Source organism: Homo sapiens, chromosome 7 (genome assembly GCF_000001405.40).
Source record: "Homo sapiens chromosome 7, GRCh38.p14 Primary Assembly".
Lineage (NCBI taxonomy): Eukaryota > Metazoa > Chordata > Mammalia > Primates > Hominidae > Homo > Homo sapiens.
In genome coordinates, this window is record NC_000007.14 from 103099765 (window position 1) to 103124174 (window position 24410).

The 24410-nt window shown below is 39.7% G+C and overlaps 1 protein-coding gene across 37 annotated transcripts in view, besides 1 other annotated feature; it reads right to left on the minus strand.

Annotated features, from left to right (window-relative positions):
- NAPEPLD (N-acyl phosphatidylethanolamine phospholipase D) overlaps positions 12 to 24410 on the minus strand; it is a 50226-nt gene continuing 25827 nt past the window's right edge. For 11 of the 37 annotated variants that reach the window (NM_001386176.1, NM_001386177.1, NM_001386213.1 and 8 more), the window contains 3 exons: positions 19813 to 20459; positions 15296 to 15410; positions 12 to 3790 (listed from right to left, as the gene is read on the minus strand). In NM_001386176.1, coding sequence (NP_001373105.1) covers positions 3665 to 3790; positions 15296 to 15410; positions 19813 to 20459 — 888 coding nt within the window. In that variant the 3' untranslated portion in view covers positions 12 to 3664. The other 26 variants (NR_169880.1, NR_170069.1, NR_170076.1 and 23 more) reach the window with 16 other exon arrangements.
- Positions 5950 to 6819: an enhancer, noted in NCBI's record as "H3K27ac-H3K4me1 hESC enhancer chr7:102746161-102747030 (GRCh37/hg19 assembly coordinates)". NCBI's record gives its function as "activates a minimal SCP1, AML or CMV promoter by ChIP-STARR-seq in primed H9 embryonic stem cells {active_cell/tissue: H9 hESC(primed)}" and the evidence as "EXISTENCE:reporter gene assay evidence [ECO:0000049][PMID:30033119]".

The following is a 24410-nucleotide window of genomic DNA, read 5'->3' on the forward strand; positions in this document are numbered from 1 at the left end:
AAGGTTATACATATTTTTTCCCTTGACAGTACTTTATTAATTTTCATCCATATTTTACTTGACTAAAAATACAATGTATGAAAATTTATCTTTAATAGCATTTTCCATAAGCTACTATAACAATTTATTGATACATCTGGGATTCAGCCAGGTCTTATAGTATTTAAATTTATAACCCCTGCCATGCTTAGCATTAAGTAAATCAGTATGCAAGCAGTATTTAAGGCAAAGCTTTAAGAATACTTTAAATTTCATTTGTAAATACATAGATGCAAGACTGTTTCCATAGGAAGTCACAAATCCTCAAACAGAAATATGTGTGTTCTCAATGTTACCCTGATACAGAAATCAAACTTGGAAGAAATATTTTTACATTAGAAAAAGGACTCAGTATAAGGTGAAAACAAAATTCCCAGTGGGCTAGACATGAACAAAAGTATTCATTCCCCAAAAGGCACATTTCTTTATAACGGTTTTTTCAAATCTACCTCCCTATTTAATGAAAGCATATTCATTAAATATGAAACTATGCATACATTAAAAACCAGGATTTGTTTTTAATGTGCTTTAGCAGCAGTAGATTCTAAAACTGTGTCTTCTTGTCCTCTCATTAGTTTGAATAATCACACTCCCTAGAGATCAGAGCATTGAGTCTGAAATGTCAAAATGCTAGAGAAAAGAGGGAGTAATTTTTAACTACCCAGAAAGAAGATGCACAAATACATCTTTTCCTACGTAGGTCACGGCATATGTTGGCTTTTATAATTTGGGATTTCTCCTAATTGATGACCCACCCTATTGGGCAGTGAGGCATAGCAAAGTATTCCTCAGTTATCACAGGAAACTTCAATAAAATCTTACATATTGCTATGGGTATTCACGAAGAGGAAAATGAAGTTGACTTAGAGGATAAGACTGATTAAAAGACACTACAATGCATATTAGACTGAATTGAAGAAGAGAATGGATTTGTCTTATTTTTCAAAATTTGTTTTCACTTTGCACATAAACCCTTCAAAATGTAGATAACAAATGAAAAATAAAGTGGAACCCACTCAATAAGGTGAGATTCTGTAAGCAGAGATGAAGCTTGATGTTCTTAATGAATAGTGTCAGTGTAGAAAGAACATGAGTGGTAATAAAAAATTACAGCTTACAAAAGGGCCTAGAAAAATGAGGCAGGCCAGACGAGTGGAAATAGAACACAACAGTTTAAAGTGCTTTGAGACCCTCAGTTAAACAGTACACGTGAATACAAAATAATGTTAAGGCCATTCATGGAGAAGAAATACTTAAGCAAGACATACCTGGCTTGCTTCATAGAGAAGAGGTAAGAGATGGATTTTCAATTCGGCGTGCAGCAGCAGGGAATATGGCTACAACAACGCTGGCTAGTATTAGGGCAACACACCTCAAAGCTAACTCACCATAAACCTAACATCTTGATTCACATCTGCTTGGAGTGAAAAAGTTTATGATCAGTCTTTTCAGGAAGGTTTATTTTATGGGGGATTTTTTTGTGCTTTAGTACCCCAAAATCACATATGTTCGCATACATCATATACACACACATTGCATACACATTTCCCCTTGACTGATTCGCATCTTTGTAGATAAACACTAAATTTTGATAAAGATTATTTACACTTATTTAGGCTATTACTCCAATTTAAAAATCAGTGAAAGTTTTCAATGTTTAGTCTCCTAATATATAATGCTTAAATTTGCAACAGGAACAATACATTATCAAAAGCATTAACCTGTATTTAGCTTTCAAATATACCTGTCTATATTAGGCAGTGATATCTTAAGAAATCATTTTCTCCCTTATATTTTCTAAAGTGCTTTAAAAACTCATTTAATCTACACATTTTTCAGAGGTAGGTCGGAATTATCCTCTTGTTGCAAATGAGGAAACAGGCACAGTGAGCACTGGTGACTTGTTTCAGGTTACACAAAAAAATCCATGATGAAAGCAGGGTAAAAGTTCAGATTTAGTGGCTAACGTGGCACCACACATACAGGTGTGCAAATAAATTATAGAGCACTGCCTGGGTAGCATTTGGTGTAGAAAACCTATTTTGATTATTTTGTATGAATAAAGTGCTGAGACTGGATTAGGAATACAGAATGGGCCTCCAGTGGTATCTAATCCACCTCCCTCCCTTAGGAAGGGTCAGAATAATCAAGTGAATACAGAGTCCTTATTAGGACTAAATCTTATGTCAACTGACTCCCCCCCCGCCCCCCAACCACTGGCATTCATACTGGCTTACCAAAAGAATCATGCTTAAGGTTCATTTAATATAAAAATGTAAGACATCTGAATCAGGTAAAAAAAATTATAAATCTGATTGATATATTTAGAGCTAAGAGACTCCAGGAAAAAAAAAATGTGTAGAGAAAATTAAAAACAAATTTAATTCAAAGAATATGGTCTATTAACATTTTGTCTGTAAAATATTTCATTGTAGCTGTATTTGTGCTTAGAAGATCTTCTAGATTTAAAAACAGAAAATGGCATAAATCATATTCTCATAGCCACACTCCTTCCCTTCCTCTGCTCAGCTAAGGAGAGGGCTTTCTTTTGAGACAGGGTCTCATTTTGTCGCCCAGGCTGGAGTGCAGTGGTACGATCACAGCTCACTGCAGCCTCTATCTCCTGGGCTCAAGTGATCCTCCCACCTCAGCCTCCCAAGTACCTGTGACTACAGGTACACACCACCTCACCCGGCTTTTTCTTTTTTCTTTTTTTTTTTCCGAGAGAGACGGGAGGTCACCATGTTGCCCAGGTTGATGTCAAACTCCTGGGTTCAAGTGACCCACCCACCTTGGCCTCCCAAAGTAAGAGGTCTTTTGGGAATTGTAGACGTGCAATAGAATATACTGTTCCCTCTCATCTGAAGGCTCTAGGAAAAAAAGAATATACTGTTCTTTTAAAAATTTAAGTGAATGGTGGTCATGGGTGCATTAATGCGAAAGAACTGTACACTTAAAAATGGTTAAAATGGTAAATGTTTAAAATGGCAAATATGTATTTATATATTTTACCACAATAGAGAAAATCAAGTCTTTAAAAATGATAGCCCCTATGTTTTTATGCTTACCTAAATAAACCATATTTAATATTTGGCATATAAGCTAATTTGATAGAGCAAGAATTGCTATGTTTATAATAAGCATGTTGGACTGAATTTCATCATTTATTAGAATGTGCATATAAGAAAGATACTTGTATTTGTAGGCCTCTGAAAAACATCTAGGTAGGTAGAGAGCCTTGACTCACCTTGCCGAAGGTCCTGAAGAATGGAAAAAAGAAAAATGAATCTTCAATATCGGTTTTTCACCTCAGGAAATTCTAGTACCACAAAAATATAATGTTTTAGTAAAAACATTTCCATTGCAGTGCTTATATCATGATATGAAATTTAAAATCCACATTAGCCAATTCATTATTTAAATGACCCACCCCTGAACCCTCTCATAGTGTACATGAGCTGATCATACTAGGAAGCAAGTTATTACACAAAACATAAAACATAAACTTGCAGAAGTTGTTTCCAAATGTAAAATAATCACAATATTCATGAATTTCTAAGTCTTTTCATTTGTTTTTAAACTTAGATGATGCCTTTTTCATTAAAAGTGCCTGTGCTCACATTTATTAAAAGTTTTCATCATCATTATTTAGGTATCTTGATTCTCCATGCTTCAAGACAAAAAAATCTTCAGCGTTAAGTCCGTATCTCTCTAGAGCTTCATTCAGCTTCACTGGAGGCTCTAAGTAATGCTGGCCAAAGAGAAAGAAGAAAAATAGAAAAAGATTAAACATATATTTGGGAGATTTTCCAAATAACAGTTCAAACTAAAATAACCAACAGATGCCTAGTTAGAATTAGGCCCTTTCTTTTAATTGAAGCATTAGCAAATGGGTCTATCACATTTTCTAATACAGTTTTGAGTCATGAATTAAGTCAACAGGTATTTGGTTGGATAGAAATCATGCCAACACCATGTATGTGAAATTTGGTGCCATCTTACTTTGAACATCACTGGATTGCATGAAATCATCACGGTTTCACCATATGAAATTCCAATCTAGATGGAATCAGTGCCAAAGATGATGTTATTAGAGAATTACATGTTACTAACATTTTTGAAAAATATAGAAATCAAATTGTGGTGTGTGTGTGTGTGTAACCAAATGCTAGAGCAAATTGTTTTGCTGAAGAAGGGTTGTTATCCTCAAAAAGTCTAGTCACATACAGAAACCACAGTCTACAGAATGAAAGAGGATCCCAGAGAATATGAAGGTTGAGCTCTGTGTGGCAAAGAGGAGTCAAGATTTTGCCCTGAGGAATTGCTAAATGGGAGTCACCCTTTACTGAGATGTTTGAAAAGTAAGCTTGAGGGAAGATGAGAAAGTTTAATTTCAGACTTTAGTTCTAGGTACCTAATGGATATCCAAGTGGAGATGTGAAGGAGACAGTTGGATATATAAATGTGGATTATAGAAGAAAAACATCTGAGCTAGAGAGGAACAGCAGGTAGGTGGTATTTGAAGCCATAAGACTGGATGCGATTCCCAAGGGAGAAACCAACTACAGAAGAGAAGAGGTCCGTGGACTGACTTCTACGGCACGCACTGTTCAGAGCAAGCGGAGAGGAGGGACTAGCAACAGAGAATAAGGGACAGCCAATGATGTGCAAGGAAAACCAGGCAAGTTTCCTGAGCCCTTAAATGCACAGGTTTGGTAACAGTTGTTGGCCACACACAGGTCATCCTTTTCCCCCTTGCTCAGTTCCAGGTTTTATGGCTATGTTTAAAGATAAAGGATACCTTTCAACTGACTACTGAGTAAGTTTGGTTTTAACTGTATGCTGGTTATCCAATATTCCTAGAGCTAACCCCTTAGTAATGGATAGTTGATAACAGGAATTTACTTTTAGTCTATTTTATATATAAAGAAAAAAGATCACTAATTATATTACAAATAAAATTTAACTTTATACCCTAAGTCAAGAAATTTCCCCTGAAATAATTTCCTAAATTATTTTAAGAGATTTCAAAATGATGAGCTTTTTTCCCATTGAAAAATAACTTCTTTTGTTAAATTCTCTTTCTCCCATGCTGTACAAGTCTGGGCTAACAGTACACACTCACAGAATCACCCTACGTCAGTAACTTATTTGCTAAGCTATAACTTTAGTGTGGAGGGCGATGTTTGCGTTTAGTGAGAATTCTGATATGTTAGAGTTGGCAGTAGACCCTCTGTCTTTAATCTGCCTAGATTTAGCAGTATCTTTCTGAGTTTCTTCACAGACCAATTCTTCGCTGTTTCAACCATCTGGAAGATAACCCTGGAGGTAGGTCTGAAAGGCTTCTGAGTGACTGAGAGCTCACAGTCCAAGCACTTTAGTCCAGAAGGGAGATAAAAATGCCCCATAACCATGGGACAAAACAACTACATATAAAGCAAAACAGCAGATCAGAGATCAATATGAGTAAATGGGAAAAGCAGAAGACTCCGAGCATTCTGGATCCATTAGGGTCTAGGCAGCTAGCCACACACAACTCGTAAATTCCTAAAGGGGTCAGTTTCATGATATACAACAATAGAATATATTCAAAGTAAAGACCCGGATCACTTGAAAGGCAATGTACATATTATGTAATGCTTGAAACTCGTTTCCATCAAAACTAGTAATTTAAGTTTTAGTGCTTAAATATATGTAGGAAATGCACTCATCATTCCCTAGATAAATTAGATGTTGCCATATATGCAATTTTAGAGTATTGCCAAGTTAAGGACATCCTTAATCTGCTTATATTACACGAGGCAGCTACTATAACAGCATATATGCAAAGAGTGTTAAAGTGTTTAGAAGTCATGGGTAACTGGCTGGGTGCAGTGGCTCACGCCAGTTAAGGCTGAAGCGGACGGATCACCTGAGGTCAGGAGTTTGAGACCAGCCTGGCCAACATGGCAAAACCCTGTCTCTACTAAAAATACAAAAATTAGCCAGGCATAGTGGCCGGCACCTGTAATCCCAGCTACTTGGGAGGCTGAGGCAGGAGAATTGCTTGAACCCAGGAGACGGAGGTTGCAGCGCGCCGAGATCGTGCCACTGCACTCCAGCCTGAGCAACAGAATGAGACTCCGTCTCAAAAAAAAAAAAAAAAAAAAAAAAAGGCTGAAGAGGAACAGCTCTGGTCTGCAGCTCCCAGTGAGGTCTACACAGAAGGTGGGTGATTTCTGCATTTCCAACTGAGGTACCTGGTCCATCTCATTAGGGCTGGTTAGACAGTGGGTGCAGCCCACGGAGGGTGAGCCAAAGGAGGGTGGGGCATTGCCTCATCCAGGAAGAACAAGGGGTTGGGGAATTCTCTCCCCTACCCAAGGGAAGCCATGAGAGACTGTACGGGGAGGAACAGTGCACTCCAGCCCAGATACTGCACTTTTCCAATAGTGTTCGTAACAGGCAGACCAGGAGATTACCTCCGGTGCCTGCCCCACCAGGGCCCTGGGTTTCAAGCACAAAACTGGGCGGCAATTTGGGCAGACACCAAACTAGCTGCGGGAGCTTTTTTTTTTTTTCATACCCCAGTGGCACCTGTAATGCCAGCAAAACAAAACCGTTCACTCCCCTGGAAAGGGGGCTGAAGCCATGGAGCCAAGTGGTCTGGCTCAGCGGGGCCCACCCCCACAAAGCCCAGCAAGCTAAGATCCACAGGATTGAAATTTTCGCTGCCAGCACAGCAGTCTGACCCTGACCTGGGATGCTTGAGCTTGGTAGGGGGAGGGGCGTCCGCCACTGCTGAAGCTTGAGTAGGCAGTTTTCCCCTCACAGTGTAAACAAAGCCACTGGGAAGTTCAAAGTGAGCAGAGCCCACTGCAGCTCAGCAAGGCCGCTGCAGCCAGACTGCCTCTCTAGACTTCTCCTCTCTGGGCAGGGCATCTCTAAAAAAAAAAGGCAGCACCCCAGTCAGGGGCTTATAAATAAAACTCCCATCTCCCTGGGACAGAGCAACTGGGGGAAGGGGTGCTGTGGGCGCAGTTTCAGCAGACTTAAACGTCCCTGCCTGACAGCTCTGAAAAGAGCACTGGTTCTCCCAGCACAGCGTTCGAGCTCTGATAAGGGACAGACTGCCTCCTCAAGTGGGTCCCTGACCCCTGTGTATCCTGGCTGGGAGACACCTCCCAGTAGGGGCCGACAGACATCTCATACAGGAGACCTCTGGCTGGCATCTGACGGGTGCCCTTCTGGGACAAAGCTTGCAGAGGAAGAAACAGGCAGTAATCTTTGCTGTTCTGCAGCCTCCGATGTTGATACCCAGGCAAACAGGGTCTGGAGTGGACCTCCAGCAAACTCCAGCAGACCTGCAGCAGAGGGGCCTGTAAGAAGGAAAACTAACTAACAGAAAGGAATAGTATCAGCATCAACAAAAAGGACGTCCACTCATAGAGCCCACCTGAAGGTCACCAACATCAAAGACCAAAGGTAGATAAATCCACAAAGATGGGGAGAAACCAGCACAAAAAGGCTGAAAACTCCAAAAACCATAACACTTCCTCTCCTCCAAAGGATCACAACTCCTCACCAGCAAGGGAAGAAAACTGGACACAGAATGAGTTTGATGAATTGACAGAAGCAGGCTTTAGAAGGTGGGTAATAACAAACCCCTCCGAGCTAAAGGAGCGTATTCTAACCCAATGCAAGGAAGCTAAGAACCTTGAAAAAAGGTTAGACAAATTGCTAACTAGAAAAAACAGTTTAGAGAAGAACATAAATGACCTGATGGAGCTGAAAAACACAGTAAGAGAACTTCATTAAGCATACACAGTATCAATAGCCGAATCGATCAAGCAGAAGAAAGGATATCAGAGATTGAAGATCAACTCAATGAATTAAAGCGAGAAGACAAGATTAGAGAAAAAAGAGTGACAAGAAATGAACAAAGACTCCAAGAAATATGTGACTATGTGAAAAGACCAAATCTACACGATTGGTGTACCTGAAAGTGATGGGGAGAATGAAACCAAGTTGGAAAACACTCTTCAGAATATTATCCAGGAGAACTTCCCCAACCTAGCAAGACAGGCCAACATTCAAATTCAGGAAATACAGAGAACACCACAAAGATACTCCTCAAGAAGAGCAACCTCAAGACACATAATCGTCAGATTCATCAAGGGTGAAATGAAGGAAAAAATGTAAAGGGCAACCAGAGAGAAACTTCAGGTTACCCATAAAGGGAAGCCCATCAGACTAAGTTACCCATAAAGGGAAGCCCATCAGACTAACACCAGATCTCTCAGCAGAAACCCTACAAGCCCAGAAGAGAGTAGGGGCCAATATTCAACATTCTTTTTTTTTTTTTTTTTTTTTTTTTTGAGATGGAGTCTTGCTCTGTCACCCAGGTTGGAGTGCAGTGGTGCAGTCTCAGCTCACTGCAACCTCCACCTCCCGGGTTCAAGCAGTTTTCCAGCCTCAGCCTCCTGAGTAGTTGGGATCACAGGCGTGCGCCACAACACCCAGTTAATTTTTGCATTTTTAGTAGAGACGGGGTTTCACCATGTTGGTCAGGCTGGTCTCGAACTCCTGACCTCATGATCTGCCCGCCTCAGCCTCCAAAAGTGCTGGGATTACAGGCGTGAGCCACCACGCCCAGCTCAACATTCTTAAAAGAATTTTCAACCCAGAATTTCATATGCAGCCAAACTAAGCTTCAAAGCGAAGGTGAAATAAAATCCTTTACAGACAAGCAAATGCTGAGAGATTTTTGTCACCACCAGGCCTGCCTTACAAGAGCTCCTGAAGGAAGCACTAAACATGGAAAGGAACAACCAGTATAAGCCACTGCAAAAACATACCAAATTGCAAAGACCATCAACACTATGAATAAACTGCATTAACCAACAAGCAAAATAACCAGCTAACATCATAATGACAGGATCATATTCACACATAACAATATTAACCTTAAATGTAAATGGGTTAATGCCCCAATTAAAAGACACAGACTGGTAAACTGGATAAAGAGTCAAGACCCATCAGTGTGCTGTATTCAGAAGACCCAACTCATGTGCAAAGACACACATAGGCTCAAAATAAAGGGATGGAGGAATACTTACCAAGCAAATGGAAAGCAAAAAAAAGCAGGGGTTGTAATCCTAGTCTCTGATAAAACAGATTTTAAACCAACAAGGATCAAAAAGAGACAAAGAAGGGCATTACATAATGGTAAAGGAATCAATGCAACAAGAGCTAACTATCCTAAATATATATGCACCCAATACAGGAGCACCCAGATTCATAAAGCAAGTTCTTAGAGACCTACAAAGAGACTTAGACTCCCACACAATAATAGTGGAAGACTTTAACACCACATTGTCAATATTAGACAGATCAACGAGACAGAAAATTAACAAGGATATCAAGGAACTGAACTCAGCTCTGGACCAAGCAGACCTAACAGACATCTACAGAACTCTCCACCCCCAAATCAACAGAATATACATTCTTCTCAGAAACACATCGCACTTATTCTAAAACTCACCACATAATTGGAAGTAAAACACTCCTCAACAAATGCAAAAGAAAGGAAATCATAACAGTCTCTCAGACCACATGCAATCAAATTAGAACTCAGGATTAAGAAACTCACTCAAAACCACACAACTGCATGGAAACTGAAAAACCTGCTTCTGAACAACCTGCTCCTGAATGACTATGGGTAAATAACAAAATTAAGGCAGAAATAAAGATGTTGTTTGAAACCAATGAGGACAAAGACACAATGTACCAGAATCTCTGGGACACATTTAAAGCAGTGTGTAGAGGAAATTTATAGCATTAAATGCCCACAAGAGAAAGCGGGAAAGATCTAAAATCAACACCCTAACATCACAACTAAACTAGAGAAGCAAGAGCAAACAAACTCAAAAGCGAGCAGAAGACAAGAAATAACTAAGATCAGAGCAGAACTGAAGGAGACAGAGACGCGAAAAATCCTTCAAAAAAAATCAATGAATCCAGGAGCTGGATTCATTAGCCAGACTAATAAAGAACAAAAGAGAGAAGAATCAAATTGACGCAATAAAAAATGATAAAGGAGATATCACCACTGATCCCACAGAAATACAAACTACCATCAAAGAATACTATCAACACCTCTACGCAAATAAAGTGGAAAATCTAGAAGAAATGGATAAATTCCTGGACACATACACCATCCTAAGACTAAACCAGGAAGAAGTCAAATTCCTGAATAGGCCAATAACAAGTTGTGAAATTGAGGACGCAATTAATAGCCTACCAACCAAAAAAAGTCCAGGACCAGACGGATTCACAGCCAAATTCTACCAGAGGTACAAAGAGGAGCTGGTACCATTCCTTCTAAAACTATTCCAAACAATAGAAAAAGAGGGAATCCTCCCTAACTCGTTTTATGAGGCCACCATCATCCTGATACCAAAACCTGGCAGAGATTCCAAAACCTGGCAGAGACACAACAAAAAAGAGAAAATTTCAGGCCAATATCCCTGATGAACATCGATGCGAAAATCCTCAATAATGGCAAACTGAACCCAGCAGCACATCATAAAGCTTATTCACCATGATCAAGTCAGCTTCATACCTGGGATGCAAGGCTGGTTCAACATACGCAACTCAATAAATGTAATCCATCACATAAACAGAACCAATGACAAAAACCACATGATTGTCTCAATAGAAGCAGAAAAGGCCTTCGACAAAATTCAACAACCCTTCAAGTTATTCAATAAACTAGGTATTAATGGAACATATCTCAAAATAATAAGAGCTATTTATGACAAACCCACAGCCAATATCCTACTAAATGGGCAAAAACTGGAAGCATTCCCTTTGAAAACCAGCACAAGACAAGGATGCCCTCTCTCACCACTCCTATTCAACATAGCATTCGAAGTTCTGGCCAGGGCAATCAGGCAAGAGAAAGAAATAAAGGGTATTCAATTAGGAAAAGAGGAAGTCAGATTGTCTCTGTTTGCAGATGACATGATTGTATATTTAGAGAAACCCATCATCTCAACCCAAAATCTCCTTAAGCTGATAAGCAACTTCAGCAAAATCTCAGGATACAAAAATCAATGTATCACAGCATTCCTATACAGAATTAAAAATCACAAGCAAACTCAAAAGCGAGCAGAAGACCAATAACAGGCAAAGAGTCAAATCATGAGTGAACTCCCATTCTCAATTGCTACAAAGAGAATAAAATACCTAGGAATACAACTTACAAGGGATGTGAAGGACCTCTTCAGGAAAAACTACAAACCACTGCTCAAGGAAATAAGAGAGGACACAAACAAATGGAAAAACATTCCATGCTCATGGATAGGAAGAATCAATATTGTGAAAATGCTCATACTGCCCAAAGTAATTTATAGAGTCAATGCTACCCCCATCAAGCTACCATTGACTTTCTTCACAGAACTGGAAAAAACTACTTTAAATTTCATATGGAACAAAAAAAGAGCCCACATAGCCAAGACAATCCTAAGCAAAAAGAACAAAGCTGGAGGCATCATGCTACCTGACTTCAAGCTATACTACAAGGTTACAGTAATCAAAACAGCATGGTACTGGTACCAAAACAGATATATAGACCAATGGAACAGAACAGAGGCCTCAGAAGTAACACCACACATCTACAACCATCTGATCTTTGACAAACCTGACAAATACAAGCAATGGGGAAAGGATTCCCTATTTAATAAATGGTGTTCAGAAAACTGGCTAGCCATAAGCAGAAAGCTGCAACTGGATCCCTTCCTTACACCTTATACAAAAATTAACTCAAGATGGATTAAAGACTTAAACATAAGACCTAAAACCATAAAAACCCTAGAAGAAAACCCAGGCAATACCATTCAGGACATGGGCATGGGCAAAGACTTCATGACTAAAATACCAAAAGCAATGGCAACAAAAGCCAAATAGACAATGGGATCTAATTAAACTAAAGAGCTTCTGCACAGCAAAAAAAATTATCAGCAGAATGAACAGGCAGCCTACAGAATGGGAGAAAATTTTTGCAATCTATCCATCTGACAAAGGGCTAATAACAAAAATCTACAAAGAACTTAATTTACAAGAAAAAAACAAACAACCCCATCAAAAAGTGGGCAAAGGATATGAACAGACACTTCTCAAAAGAAGACATTTATGCAGCCAACAAACATATGAAAAAAAAAACTCATCATCACTGGTCATTAGAGAAATGCAAATCAAAACCATATTGAGATACCATCTTATGCCAGTTAGAATGGTGATCATTAAAAAGTCAGGAAACAGATGCTGGAGTGGATGTGGAGAAATAGGAATGCTTTTACACTGTTGGTGGGAGTGTAAATTAGTTCAACCACTGTGGAAGACACTGTGGCGATTCCTCAAGGATCTGGAACCAGAAATACCATTTGACGCAGCAATCCCATCACTGGGTATATACCCAGAGGATTATAAATCATTCTACTATAAAGACTCATGCACACGTGTGTTTATTGAGGCACTGTTCACAATAGCTAAGACTTGGAACCAACCCAAATGCCCATCAATGATAGACTGGATAAAGAAAATGTGGCACATATACACCATGGAATACTATGCAGCCATAGAAAAGGATGAGTTCATGTCCTTTGCAGGGACATGGATGAAGCTGGAAACCATCATTCTCAGCAAACTAACACAAGAACAGAAAACCAAACACCGCATGTTCTCACTCATAAGTGGGAGTTGAACAATGAGAACACATGGACACAGAGAGGGGAACATCACACATTGGGGCCTGTCAGGGGGTGGGGGGCTACGGGAGGGATAGCATTAGGAGAAATACCTAATGTAGATGAAGGGTTGATGGGTGCAGCAAACCACCATGGCACGTGTATACCTATGTAACAAACCTGTATGTTCTGCACATGTATCCCAGAACTTAAAGTATAATAAAAAAAAAAAGAAGTAAAGGGTAACATATCCTCTCTGAAGATTATATCTGCTTTATAATTCAACTAACTCATAGTTATGAGGTTTATTCAACATCAAAACATGAACAAATTCCAAAATGCTGAAAGTCAAATGAGTTTTTATTAACATTCTCATTAAGAAATAAAGATGGCGGTTAGGTTTATAACAGGAATAATTCTTGAAGGCTGAATAACACAATAATTCTCAAAGACAGGATTTTTTAATCCTCTCTCATCTTCCCCATCTCAGTAAAGAGCACAACTGTCTAACCAGCTATTGAAGCTAAAAATCTAGGAGTCAACCTTGATTCCTTTCTTTGCATAGGTTTAATAAAATACCATTACTTCATCTAAGTCCCATATATATGGAATATACATAATGGAATATGTGCATACACGCACACATATATAGATGGAATAAGAAATTGTCACTGAAAACCAGTCTTAAACTTCTCCCTTCTCCAAATACGCACCCACACACCCACATTTATATTCTCATTTATCCTCCCCACAACCCTATGGTTAGTCATTATTCTATTCCTTCTCCCAACAGTGGCCAAGAATTGCTGCATTGTGGCTCAGGGTTGCTGCCTCATGGCACAGGAATTTTGATTAGGGAGTGGGGGAATGGGCAGGCAGTGTATTAGGTAATTTTGGAACACACTGCATCTTTGGGAGAGGGCAGGCCATAAGTGAGACAGAGGAGTAACTAAAACTGCAAGAAAACACTGAGTTCCTGCAGAGAGGCTCTGGGATGTGGAAGATGCCACAGAAAGTAAAGAAGCCAAGTCCTAACCACACTTTTTTTTTTTTTAAAGACAGAGTCTCACTTTTTTTTTTAAGACAGAGTCTCACTTTTTTTTTTTTTTTTTTTCTCAAGACAGAGTTTCGCTCTTTCACCCAGGCTGGAAGGAAGTGCCGTAATCTCGGCTCACTGCAACCTCTGTCTCCCAGGTTCAAGTTATTCTCCTGCCTCAGGCTCCCGAGTAGCTGGAATTATAGGCGCCTGCCACCACGCCCAGCTAATTTTATTAGAGATGGGTTTTCATCATGTTGGCCAGGCTGGTCTCGAACTCCTGACCTCAGGTGATCCACCCGCCTCAGACTCCCAAAGTGCTGGGATTACAGGTGTGAGCCACAGGTGCCCAGCCAAATCTCACTCTTTTGCCCAGGCTGGAGTATAGTGGCACAATCTCGACTTACTGCAACCTCTACTTCCTGGGTTCAGGCGATTCTCCTGCCTCAGCCTCCCGAGTAGCTGGGATTACAGGCACGCACCACCACGCCTGGCTATTTTGTATTTTTAGTAGAGACGGGGTTTCGCCATGTTGGCCAGGCTGGTCTCGAACTCCTGACCTCAAGTGATCCACCTGCCTCAGCCTCCCAAAGTGCTGGGATTACAGGTGTGAGCCACTGCACTGGGCCTAACCATACATTTCTAAGTTTTGTTTAGAGAAGACCTTGGATCCAGGAAAGGAGAGAAAGCTTTATACTATCCTCTGCTTGATCCCAGGACCCAGGCTAGTGGCAGAGTTCTAGGGTCCATCTGCCTTAAGGAAAAATTATCTCTTCTGTTTTAATCTAGGAATAAAATCACATTTATCCCTATGCCTGGCACATAGCAGACACCGAGTCAATGTTTACTGAATATATTTCTAGAAAGTTCCACACTAGCCTTACTTCTCCCTATTGCCCTCCACTCTCCTGCTGAACTGATTCAAGTACTCCCCACACTAGCTGCCTCCGAGCCTATGCTCTGCCCTTTCCTCCTCTGAAAATGCCTTCCTCCCTGCCCTCTCAGAGCCAAGTTCAAATGTCACTTATTCCATCACGCCCTCTCTGATCCCTGCCATCAGCAAACATCCTGATTCTGAGACCATCTCATCTGTTCCACATTACAGCACTTTCCCCTTCTAACATCTGTATCACATACATGACTTCTGTCTTCTGCTAGCATGAGAGCCTGCTTGAGGGGTGAGACATGATGGCTTGCTTTTCTAGTCTCCAGACCACATACAGATTTTTGGTTATACAAATACAAGCTTTACTAACTTCAGAAATAAGCCAAAAGAAAACACAATGAGGTTGTGTTGTTTTTTTTTTCTGACTGTATATGTGTGTATTGTTCTACTAATTAGTATGATTTACCACCCTAATTCATGCAGTGACTGTGATGACTGTGCAGTATCTGATTCCAGAGTCTTGGGTCTGAAAACTAAGGAACAGTGATGCCTGAATCCTATCATTGGTCAAACACACAAAGTTATTTTTATCGCAATCAAACTTACCTCATTTGCTAAGGCAAAAGTTCCCCAGTGAATTGCCATAGATTTCTTTGTTTGGACATCAGTGTGAATCCTTACAGCTTCTTCTGGGTCTACATGCTGGTATTTCATAAACCACCTGAAGAAACATGGCAATTTCTTAATTCTGACCTTTGAGATATACACTAAATTCTAAAATCTGTTTCACTTAACCAAACTTTAAGATTCTGCGCAGGACTATGGATGTTGAGAATTAAGAACCACTGGGATAAAACATGCAGTTTTGGGGAGGATGAGCTAGAAACCAAGTCTGAAGGCCAGGTCAAGGCTAGATTGTAAAAACAAAACAAATTCTGCACAGGAATTAAGTCACAGGAGGCAAAACCATCTCCCTTTGGTACACTTTCTGCTGAAAAATAAAACAAGCAAAAGTCTTTCTTGTACAAATTGCTATAAAATAAGTAAGTCTCAAGCAAACTCCCCTCTGAATAGTGAGATTTTTGTTTCACGTATATTTTGATTTTACTGGATCTATCTGAAGATACAACTTACTGATGATGCAGGGGAGGCGAGCCCCAAAATTGAGGCTTAGCCCAGGAGGGTTTTTGGCCTCACAAACGAAATATAATTCAACGGCAAGCCAGTGGTGCTGGCCAGCAATTTTTTTTAAACGATACTGCTCCTTGAGGAGCAGTGCTAAGTTATAGGCAGTAAGTGCACTCAGAGTTGGCAACATATGAGGGGTTGGTAACTGTATTTACACTCACTTATACCCACTTTTAATTATATGTAAATTAGGGAATGGGTTAATGCAAATTAAAGGGCAGATTATTTAGAACTTTCTAGGAATGGGGTGGTAACTTCTTGGTCATTGCCATGGAAAGGGGCAGTAACTTCTAGGTTGTTGCCATGGCCATTTATAAACTGTCATGGTGATGGTGGGAGAGTCTTAGGCTAATGAGCAATGAGGGCAGCTAGGGATCACTTCTGTCACCATCTGCTGGTTTTTGCCAGTTTTTTCTTTTTTTCTTTTTTTTTTTTTCTGAGATTGAGTCTCACTCTGTCGCCCAGGCTAGAGTGCAGTGCCGCGATCCCAGCTCACTGCAACCTCCGCCTCCTGGGTTCAAGTGATTCTTCTGCTTCAACCTCCTGGGTAGCTGGGACTATAGGCACGTACCACCTCTCCCGGCTAATTTTTTGTATTTTTAGTAGAACCAGGGTTTCACCATGTTAGCCAGGATGGTACTGATCTCCTGACCTTGTGATCTGCCTGCCTCCACATCCCAAAGTGCTGGGATCACAGACGTGAGCCACCGCGCCCAGCTGCCAGTTTTTTCACTTTATCAATTGAGACTGGGAAATAAGTCCTGCCTCACTGTTACTTTTAAAAGTAGATATTTTACAGTCCTGGATATGTATCAAAGAAACTGAATAATTGGTAAAGAAATAAAAACCAAAGCTCCAATTACAAAAGAATTTGTATGTCCTGCTGATACAAATTTGTAAAAACCTGCTAAAGCAAAAATAAACAAAAACTAGTACATAAAATTTAAAGACCAGGAGCCAAATATCCAATTACTATTCAAGAAATTTTATTTAATCATAAAACTGAACAATGAGGTGTTTGGTTTGGCAAGAAGATCAGACTAATGGGTAAATGATTAAGGAAATAATGAAAGGGTGCCTAATGCCTTGGGAAGAGCGAGGGCTCAGGAGGCAGAAGGCTTGGGTGTGAATCCTAGCTCTTGCAGTTCTTAGAATGCCTTTGGAAAGTCTGTTCAAATTCTCTGAGCTGCTATTTCTTTGTCTGTGAAATATAAATTTTACCCCATTATGTGAGGGTATTGTGAGGATTAAACAAGACAAGGCTTAGGAAAGCATAGAGAACATCATCTACTTTCATAGAATTCTCCCAAAACAGTAAACAAAACCAACACTTTCAGAAGAAAGACGTATTATTCCTGATATAAAGGAGAAAGTGTACTGTCTACAAGCAAATCCTTTGCCTTCCAAGCCATCAGTTTCAAGGAGGAAAAACAACACTGTATTCACATTATTTACATCCTAGTCTGCCAGTGACAACTAACACTACAGTGAAGACCAACAGACATGGATTCAGCACAGGAGCTTCCACACTTTACAGAAGACATCATGGAGAAGTTTATCCATCTGCAACAGATATTTACTGTTAGGAGTTGCTGGGTCCTACAGAAGGCTGAAAACAAAGCCACTGTGTTCTCCTCAACAGCAAATGAGAGCAGCACTGTTCTGCCATATCTCCTGACTCTTGGGATTCAGGGAAAGATGAAAATGGTTTTTGGTGTTTCTCTCTTGATTTTTTTTAAATCCTAGTGCAAATCAAAGGGATAGATATATTCCTTTCCACCTGAAATAGATTTAAATTTTTTACTGTGATATAACAATTAAAATAAAAACTTAAAATCTTAACTGACTTGGATAGAATACCTGGTGACAGGAGATTCCCTAAAGTAAGAATGAAACATTCCAAGCATATTATTGAAAGTTGTTTTCGGTCTAAACATCTTAAATTTATAGAGCACTCTCAAGTGTTATTCAATATCTTATTTCTAAAGCCGTTAACAGTAACCAAAGAAACAGACTACACATTAGAGGCTACCACAATTTAACTCTCTTAGGGCAAATAATAGCCTCCTTGTCTTTTTCCCATCTTAGTTGTTTCCTGTTTGCCTGCAATGCAAGCAGGAAAGGGGGATTATGTGAGTAAATTTGGTTGTACATATTTTATCATCACAAATATATGTGACAAATTTATATATTACTACATATGAAAACTTATTTTCATAACAAATAAAAGATGTTCTAATCTATTAAGAACATACATCAGGCTGGGCATGGTGGCTAACGCCTATAATCCTACCACGTTGGGAGGCCGACACAGGCAGATCACTTGAGGTCAGGAGTTCAAAACCAGTCTAGCCAACATGGTGAAACCCTGTCTCTACTAAAAACACACATAAAAAAACTAGCCAGGCATGGTGGCAGGCGCCTGTAGTCCCAGCTACTTGGGAGGTTGAGGCAGGAGAATCACTTGAACCCAGAGACGGAGGTTGCAGTGAGCCGAGATCGTGCCACTGCACTCCAACCTGGGCAACAGAGTGAGACTCCATCTCAAACAACCAACCAAAAAAGGAACATACATCGAGTAAAGACCAATTTTATGTTACAAATACATAACTGATTTGTAACAGTTCTAAAAATATATAAGTTGACAGGTTTTGAGAGGTTTCATTAGAATTATAACTATTTAATTAGAAAAGTAAAATTCAAGCACCAATATTGATTTGTAATCATTTTAATAATTATCAAGAACCAAAAAAGGGTAAAAATATCTAGCCCCTCCAAATAAGGAAACTAGCAAAAAACAAAAAGGGATAAATAAGCATTAGTAAATAAAAATAGGGACAAAATCGTTTTAGTGAATGTAAAAATTTAGCAAATAACAAAATCAGATGAAAACAAAAGTTTAGATTCATTCAATTCATCTATGTATTAGAGAAATACTTGTTCTTCCACTTATGGAATTACCTAAACAAAATGTTGTTGTATGTATCTGTCCATGCACTATAGAATACAATATTTTTAAAATTATCCATTGCTTTGTTACTATTAGTGTTTTGTTTTCTCTTTATTTGCACATATAAACCAGAGTTGACTGAAATCTAACTTAATTCTTTGAAATCACTTCTCTTTTCCCTAAACAGAGAATATTAAGGAAAACAAAGACAGTGGATGAGTCTCCTAGGTGTCCAATGAGAGTGTGACCTTTCGCTGCTCTGAAATAGGTCAATAGTATGTCAAGGTTGGAGGATGAGTGGTGAGTAGTACAACACCACCATGACCAGATTAACTTCAGTGCTGACTGAAATAAAACCCTCACCAGGGACTAATGCTATAGGCCAATTCCTTGCTTTTTCTCTTTGCTAAACGTAGGAGAGCTGTAGGACAGGGGATTGGGGCACTCAAGTTATGGAGCAAAAGGTGGTTATATAAAGAAAGTATTCTCCATGTGAAAGAATAAGAGTAGGTTTTATTACTGGCTGACCAGTTTAGTTGAATGGTATGTGAACTTCTGGCTAGGTATAGTAATTCTTTAAACCTTGATCCCTTTCTTATGGTAACATCATCCCTGATTTTGAGTAATTTTTTTAACTCATATGACTATAATTAAAATATTTTAATTCTCACCACAAAAACATAAGTATGTGAGATAATGCACATGTAAAATAGTTTGATTTAGTTATTCCACAATGCATACATATATCAAAACATCATGTTGCACACCATATACACAATTTTTACTTGTCAATTTAAAAAATATTTAATTTAAAATATTTAAAAATAAAATCTAATTGAATCTGACCTACCAACCCCCAATCATGTATAACAAAGTCCACCATTAAAATCATAAATTACAGTGTCACAAAAATCATAATTGCTTTACTTTTAAATTCAGTTAATTTATCACATAGCAGGAATGTTTTCTTTGGAAGTCTACATACCTCGGTTCATAAGCTCCGATGGGAATAGCTGCAAGGTCAAAAGGTCCAAATCTTTTTCCTATCTCTTCAAAAGCAGGGCAATAACCAGTATCTCCTGCGAAAAAAAATCGATTCCAAGGCCCCAAGACAGACCAGCTGCCCCATAGCACCTTGTTGTCATCCATTAGAGTCCTTTTACACCAGTGCTGGGAAGGTGTAAAGACAAAAGTGACCTTATCATGTCCGGGGACACAATTCTCCTCCCACCAGTCCAACTCAATCACATTCTCACAGCCACATTTTTGCATCCAGTCAAGGAGACCCAAAGGCACAAACCATCTCAACTCATTACCAAATCGCTCATTCAAAGCAATGACAGAATTGTAGTCCAGATGGTCATAGTGGTTGTGACTGATAAGGACCGCATCTATTGGAGGGAGTTCACTTATTGTGCACGGGGAACGACGAAATCGCTTTGGACCCATGTACTGCGATGGTGAAGCACGAGAGCTAAAGATGGGATCCGTGAGAAATATGAGCTCATCCATTTCCACCATTACCGTGGCATGTCCCAGCCATGTGACTCTTAAGCCAGCTTCCCTCACTCCAGCTTCTTCAGGGTTAGTGATAAAATATGGCTTAAGCACTGGGAGTTCTTTGTCTAGTTCCTTTGTGTATAAAGAAAGCAAGACAAAAGAGTAGTTAGAAAAAAAAGTATTATATCATCATAGTCCACATTTTGACCTAAATAATGGCAAGAAGAGCTGTTTTAAGAGAACTAAAGTCATTCAATAAACTTGCTACACTTTTGCTTTTTTCTTGAAAATGCATACTTCTTTCTGAATCTGACTTAATAATCATGATAATATGGTAATCTTCTTCCTCCCAAATGCAAAAGAGAAAATTAAATTTAAAACTTTGAGTGCTGCTAAATGTATCAATTTTTTAAAGGCTCTCTTCAGTACTGCCAGAAGTAGACTGGCCTAGATGCAGTCATTTTTCTATTGCCATTCTACTCAGCTGATGTATTTGCTGCTAAAAACTGCCTTAAAAGCAGGTCAGTCCCTGGAAATAGTAAAGAAAGCTTATGACCATTTATTTGTAGCTCTTGGCTCTCAGACATGAATCATGAATCTGATATTTTTCTTTTTTTTTTTTTTTTTTTTTTTTTTGTCTGAGACAGGCTCTCGCTCTGTTACCCAGGCTGGGGTGCAGTGGCATAATCACAGCTCTCTACAGCCACAACCCCCCAGGGTCAAGTGATCATCCCACCTCAACCTCTCAGCTGGGATCACAGGCACACAGCACCACCATATCCAGCTAATTTTTTATTTTTTGTAGAGACAGGGTCTCATTATGTTGCCCAGATTGATCTTGAACTCCTGGGCTCAAGCAATCATCCTGTCTTGCCCTCCCAAAGTGCTGGTATTATAGGCGTGAGCCACTGTGCCTGGCCTGAATCTCACTTTCTGAGTACCTATAATTCAAAATGGAGCGCTGTGATGATTCCTGGACAAATCACAGTCATAAATTGTTTTCCTCATTCCTTACCTTTCTGATTTTCTACCATTAATCAAACCAACGTGAATATGATCCCTTCCTGTGAGAAGCTGATCACTGAGATAAGGGGGGCCGTAAATGGATATAAAACAATAACTATAACAAAGCGTGAAGAGTATTATCCCTTGGTTATTCTACATTTTATACTTGGATTAAGCTAGGCCAACAAAAAGTGGTAAGGTTGCAGCATCACAGTCCTGGCTTTTATAAAGCTCTTTTACTGAATTGTGCTCTGGTACCATGCTATATAGCTGCATGGAGGTCTCTCATAGGAAGCCACCTCATGAAACTCACCATGTATGTGTTCAGGCTGCAGACTTGGTACCACCTCCACCTTCCTACTTACCCCAGAAACATTTCCCTCCCATCTCGTTTCAGGAAAAATTCTTCTCCAGAGCACCTGGCTTTGTCATTTCTGTCACTGGGAAAACTCTTAAGATTTCATGATACTTCTCTCTTTAGGAAGTTCAGAGGAAAAGCTGAGGCCACCTGCAGCAACGTGCAGCACATGATGGAACATATTTCTATATTAACTTTATTCTTGGCTTTATTTTATTTTTCTAGTCTAATAGTCCATTTTGCTCCTAGACTGGCTAGGTATAGTAATTCTATACCTCATCCAATTCTTTTTTTACTGCTTTATGTATGTTTGTAAGTTGCCACTAAATCAACTTTGAAAGGGTGTGGTACTGGATAAGTAGTTAAAATACAGGTCATGTTATAGCCTGATAAGAAGGAATGAAGAGCCCAGTTGCCAAAGGCATCACAGACACAGTGACTTGTGTGAGTTCCTGAAGAATGATGAGAAACTCATGATGCAGAGAAAAGGAAGAAGGGCATTTCAAGTAGAGAAACCACCCAAGCAAAGGTACAGAGCCAAACAGGAATGTGGTGTTTGAGGGCAGGGGACAAACTAAATCTATAAAGATGGGAACACATTAAGAGCCTTGAGTGTCATGCTTCACTCTAAGACAATGAGGAAGCATCTTTTTTTTTTTTTTTGTAGAGACAGGGTGGGTTTTACCATGTTGCCCAAGCTGGCGTCGAACTCCTGGGCTGAAGCGATCTGCTTCCCAAAGTGCTAGGATTACAGGTGTGAGCCACCACGCCAGGCCTAGGAGGTATCTTTTTGCCCTCACACGTGCACACACACACGTACACATGCATGCATGTGCACACACACATACACACAGACATGACCCAATTATGTTTAGATAAAACAATTCTAGAGTCCAAATGATGGCATGGAGAGTGTCACAACAGTTGCCAAGATATGAAGAGATGAGGACCTGAGCAAAGGATACACCGGTAGACACAGACAAAAGAGGGCAGATGGGGAGATGCTGGTGAAGGGAAACTGAGAGGTCAATGAGAGAGTGAGTCTGAATGGGAAGAAGGCCTGGACAGGAAGAGAAGGAGCAGCACAGGTGGAGGACAAAAAGGTTTCTCTTAGCCACTTAAACCTTTAGTTTCCTCATCTGGAAAACAGGTGTAATAATTGTACCTATGCTTCATTCCTGTGAGGATAGAATTACGAGTGGCTGGGACATAATAAGCACTCTACAAGTAGTCCAAAAGAAAAAGCAAGAAAGTTCCAACCCTGACAACAAACCAGGCACCAATGTTACCAATCTTTTGCATTTCCGTGGAGCTACTAACCTAGTTAAGATGCTAAGAAATATTCAGACATTCAAAGCTCTCCAGATTGCTCAACTATCTGCCTGTCAACTCAATCCATGCACAAGAGCCACCTCAAAAACAGCCAACTTAAGGTATAACTTAAGTCTCCTCTGCTGCAAAATCTCCACTGGCTCTCTACTGCCTGACAAAGTCTGTCTCACCTCCTCAGCCCAGCAGTGAGCTGCCCAGGGACTGCCCCAATTCTCTCGGGCGTTTCATGCTCCTCTTCCACATGTGCTGTGTCCCACCTACATGGAGACTGCTTCCTACTCCTAGACTGAGCTCAAGAACCCTGCACGGTACTCATCCCATTTCTCAGGTTAAATTATCTTCCCCCTTATCCCTTCGGGCCATCTCTTGAGTCCCACAGCTAGAAGCACTTACTCCTGCCTCTCAACTTCCATATCTCCCTATTCACACATCTCCTCTGGATATTCTGGTTATGTGTACACAGAATTTGTCCCATGTCTTATGAAAGGTGGAATCATTCAGTGCTCAGTTTGATTAATGAAACACAGCATGTGCTCAACAAAATTTGTTGAATGGATGAGTAAATGAATGAATGTCAACTTTCAATCAGTTCTTAAATTTGGGAGTTAGGGTTAGTGAACAATGACATATGCCAAGAGGTATACTTATCCAGAATTAATGAGGAAAGGGAGAGGGAATGAATATAAACTGAGTACCTACTAAGTACTCGTACTTGGCATCATATTGGGCACATAATGATGATGAACTACCTAATGTATCAAGTACTTTAGCATAACACAAAACAAAATACTATTAACAACAGCTACCATTTATGAAGTGCTTATTATGTGCTAGACACTGTACTAACTGCTACTGGCTACGACCACAACACTGGAAGTAGGTCCTATAAACCAGCTCCATTCTACAGCTAAGAATACAATGAATTAGGGAAGTTACAGCACTCAGGCAAGGTCACCCAGCCAGACCCACTGTAGTAAACCATACTTCCTCTCATTAAATCTCATTTACTAACATGTTTTCGTAAAAAGTAACAGCCTGGGGTCCAGGTTGGGAGAATAAGGGGGTATGAATTTCAAAAGGACACAAGGAAACTTTTGGGGATAATATATATGTTCATTGTCTTGATTGTGGTGATCTTTTCGTGGGTATATACATATGTCAAAACTCATTAAATTATGCATTTTAAATATGTGAAGCCTATATCATGTTAATAAAACTATTTTTAAAAGTTTAAGGCTGGTGCTGTGGTACATGCCTGTAATCCCAACACTTCAGGAGGCCTAGGCTAGAAGACTGCTTGAGGCCAGTAGTTTGAGACCAGCAGGGCAACATAGTGAGATCCTGTCTCTATTTAAAAATAATAATAAATAATAATTAAAAAATAATAA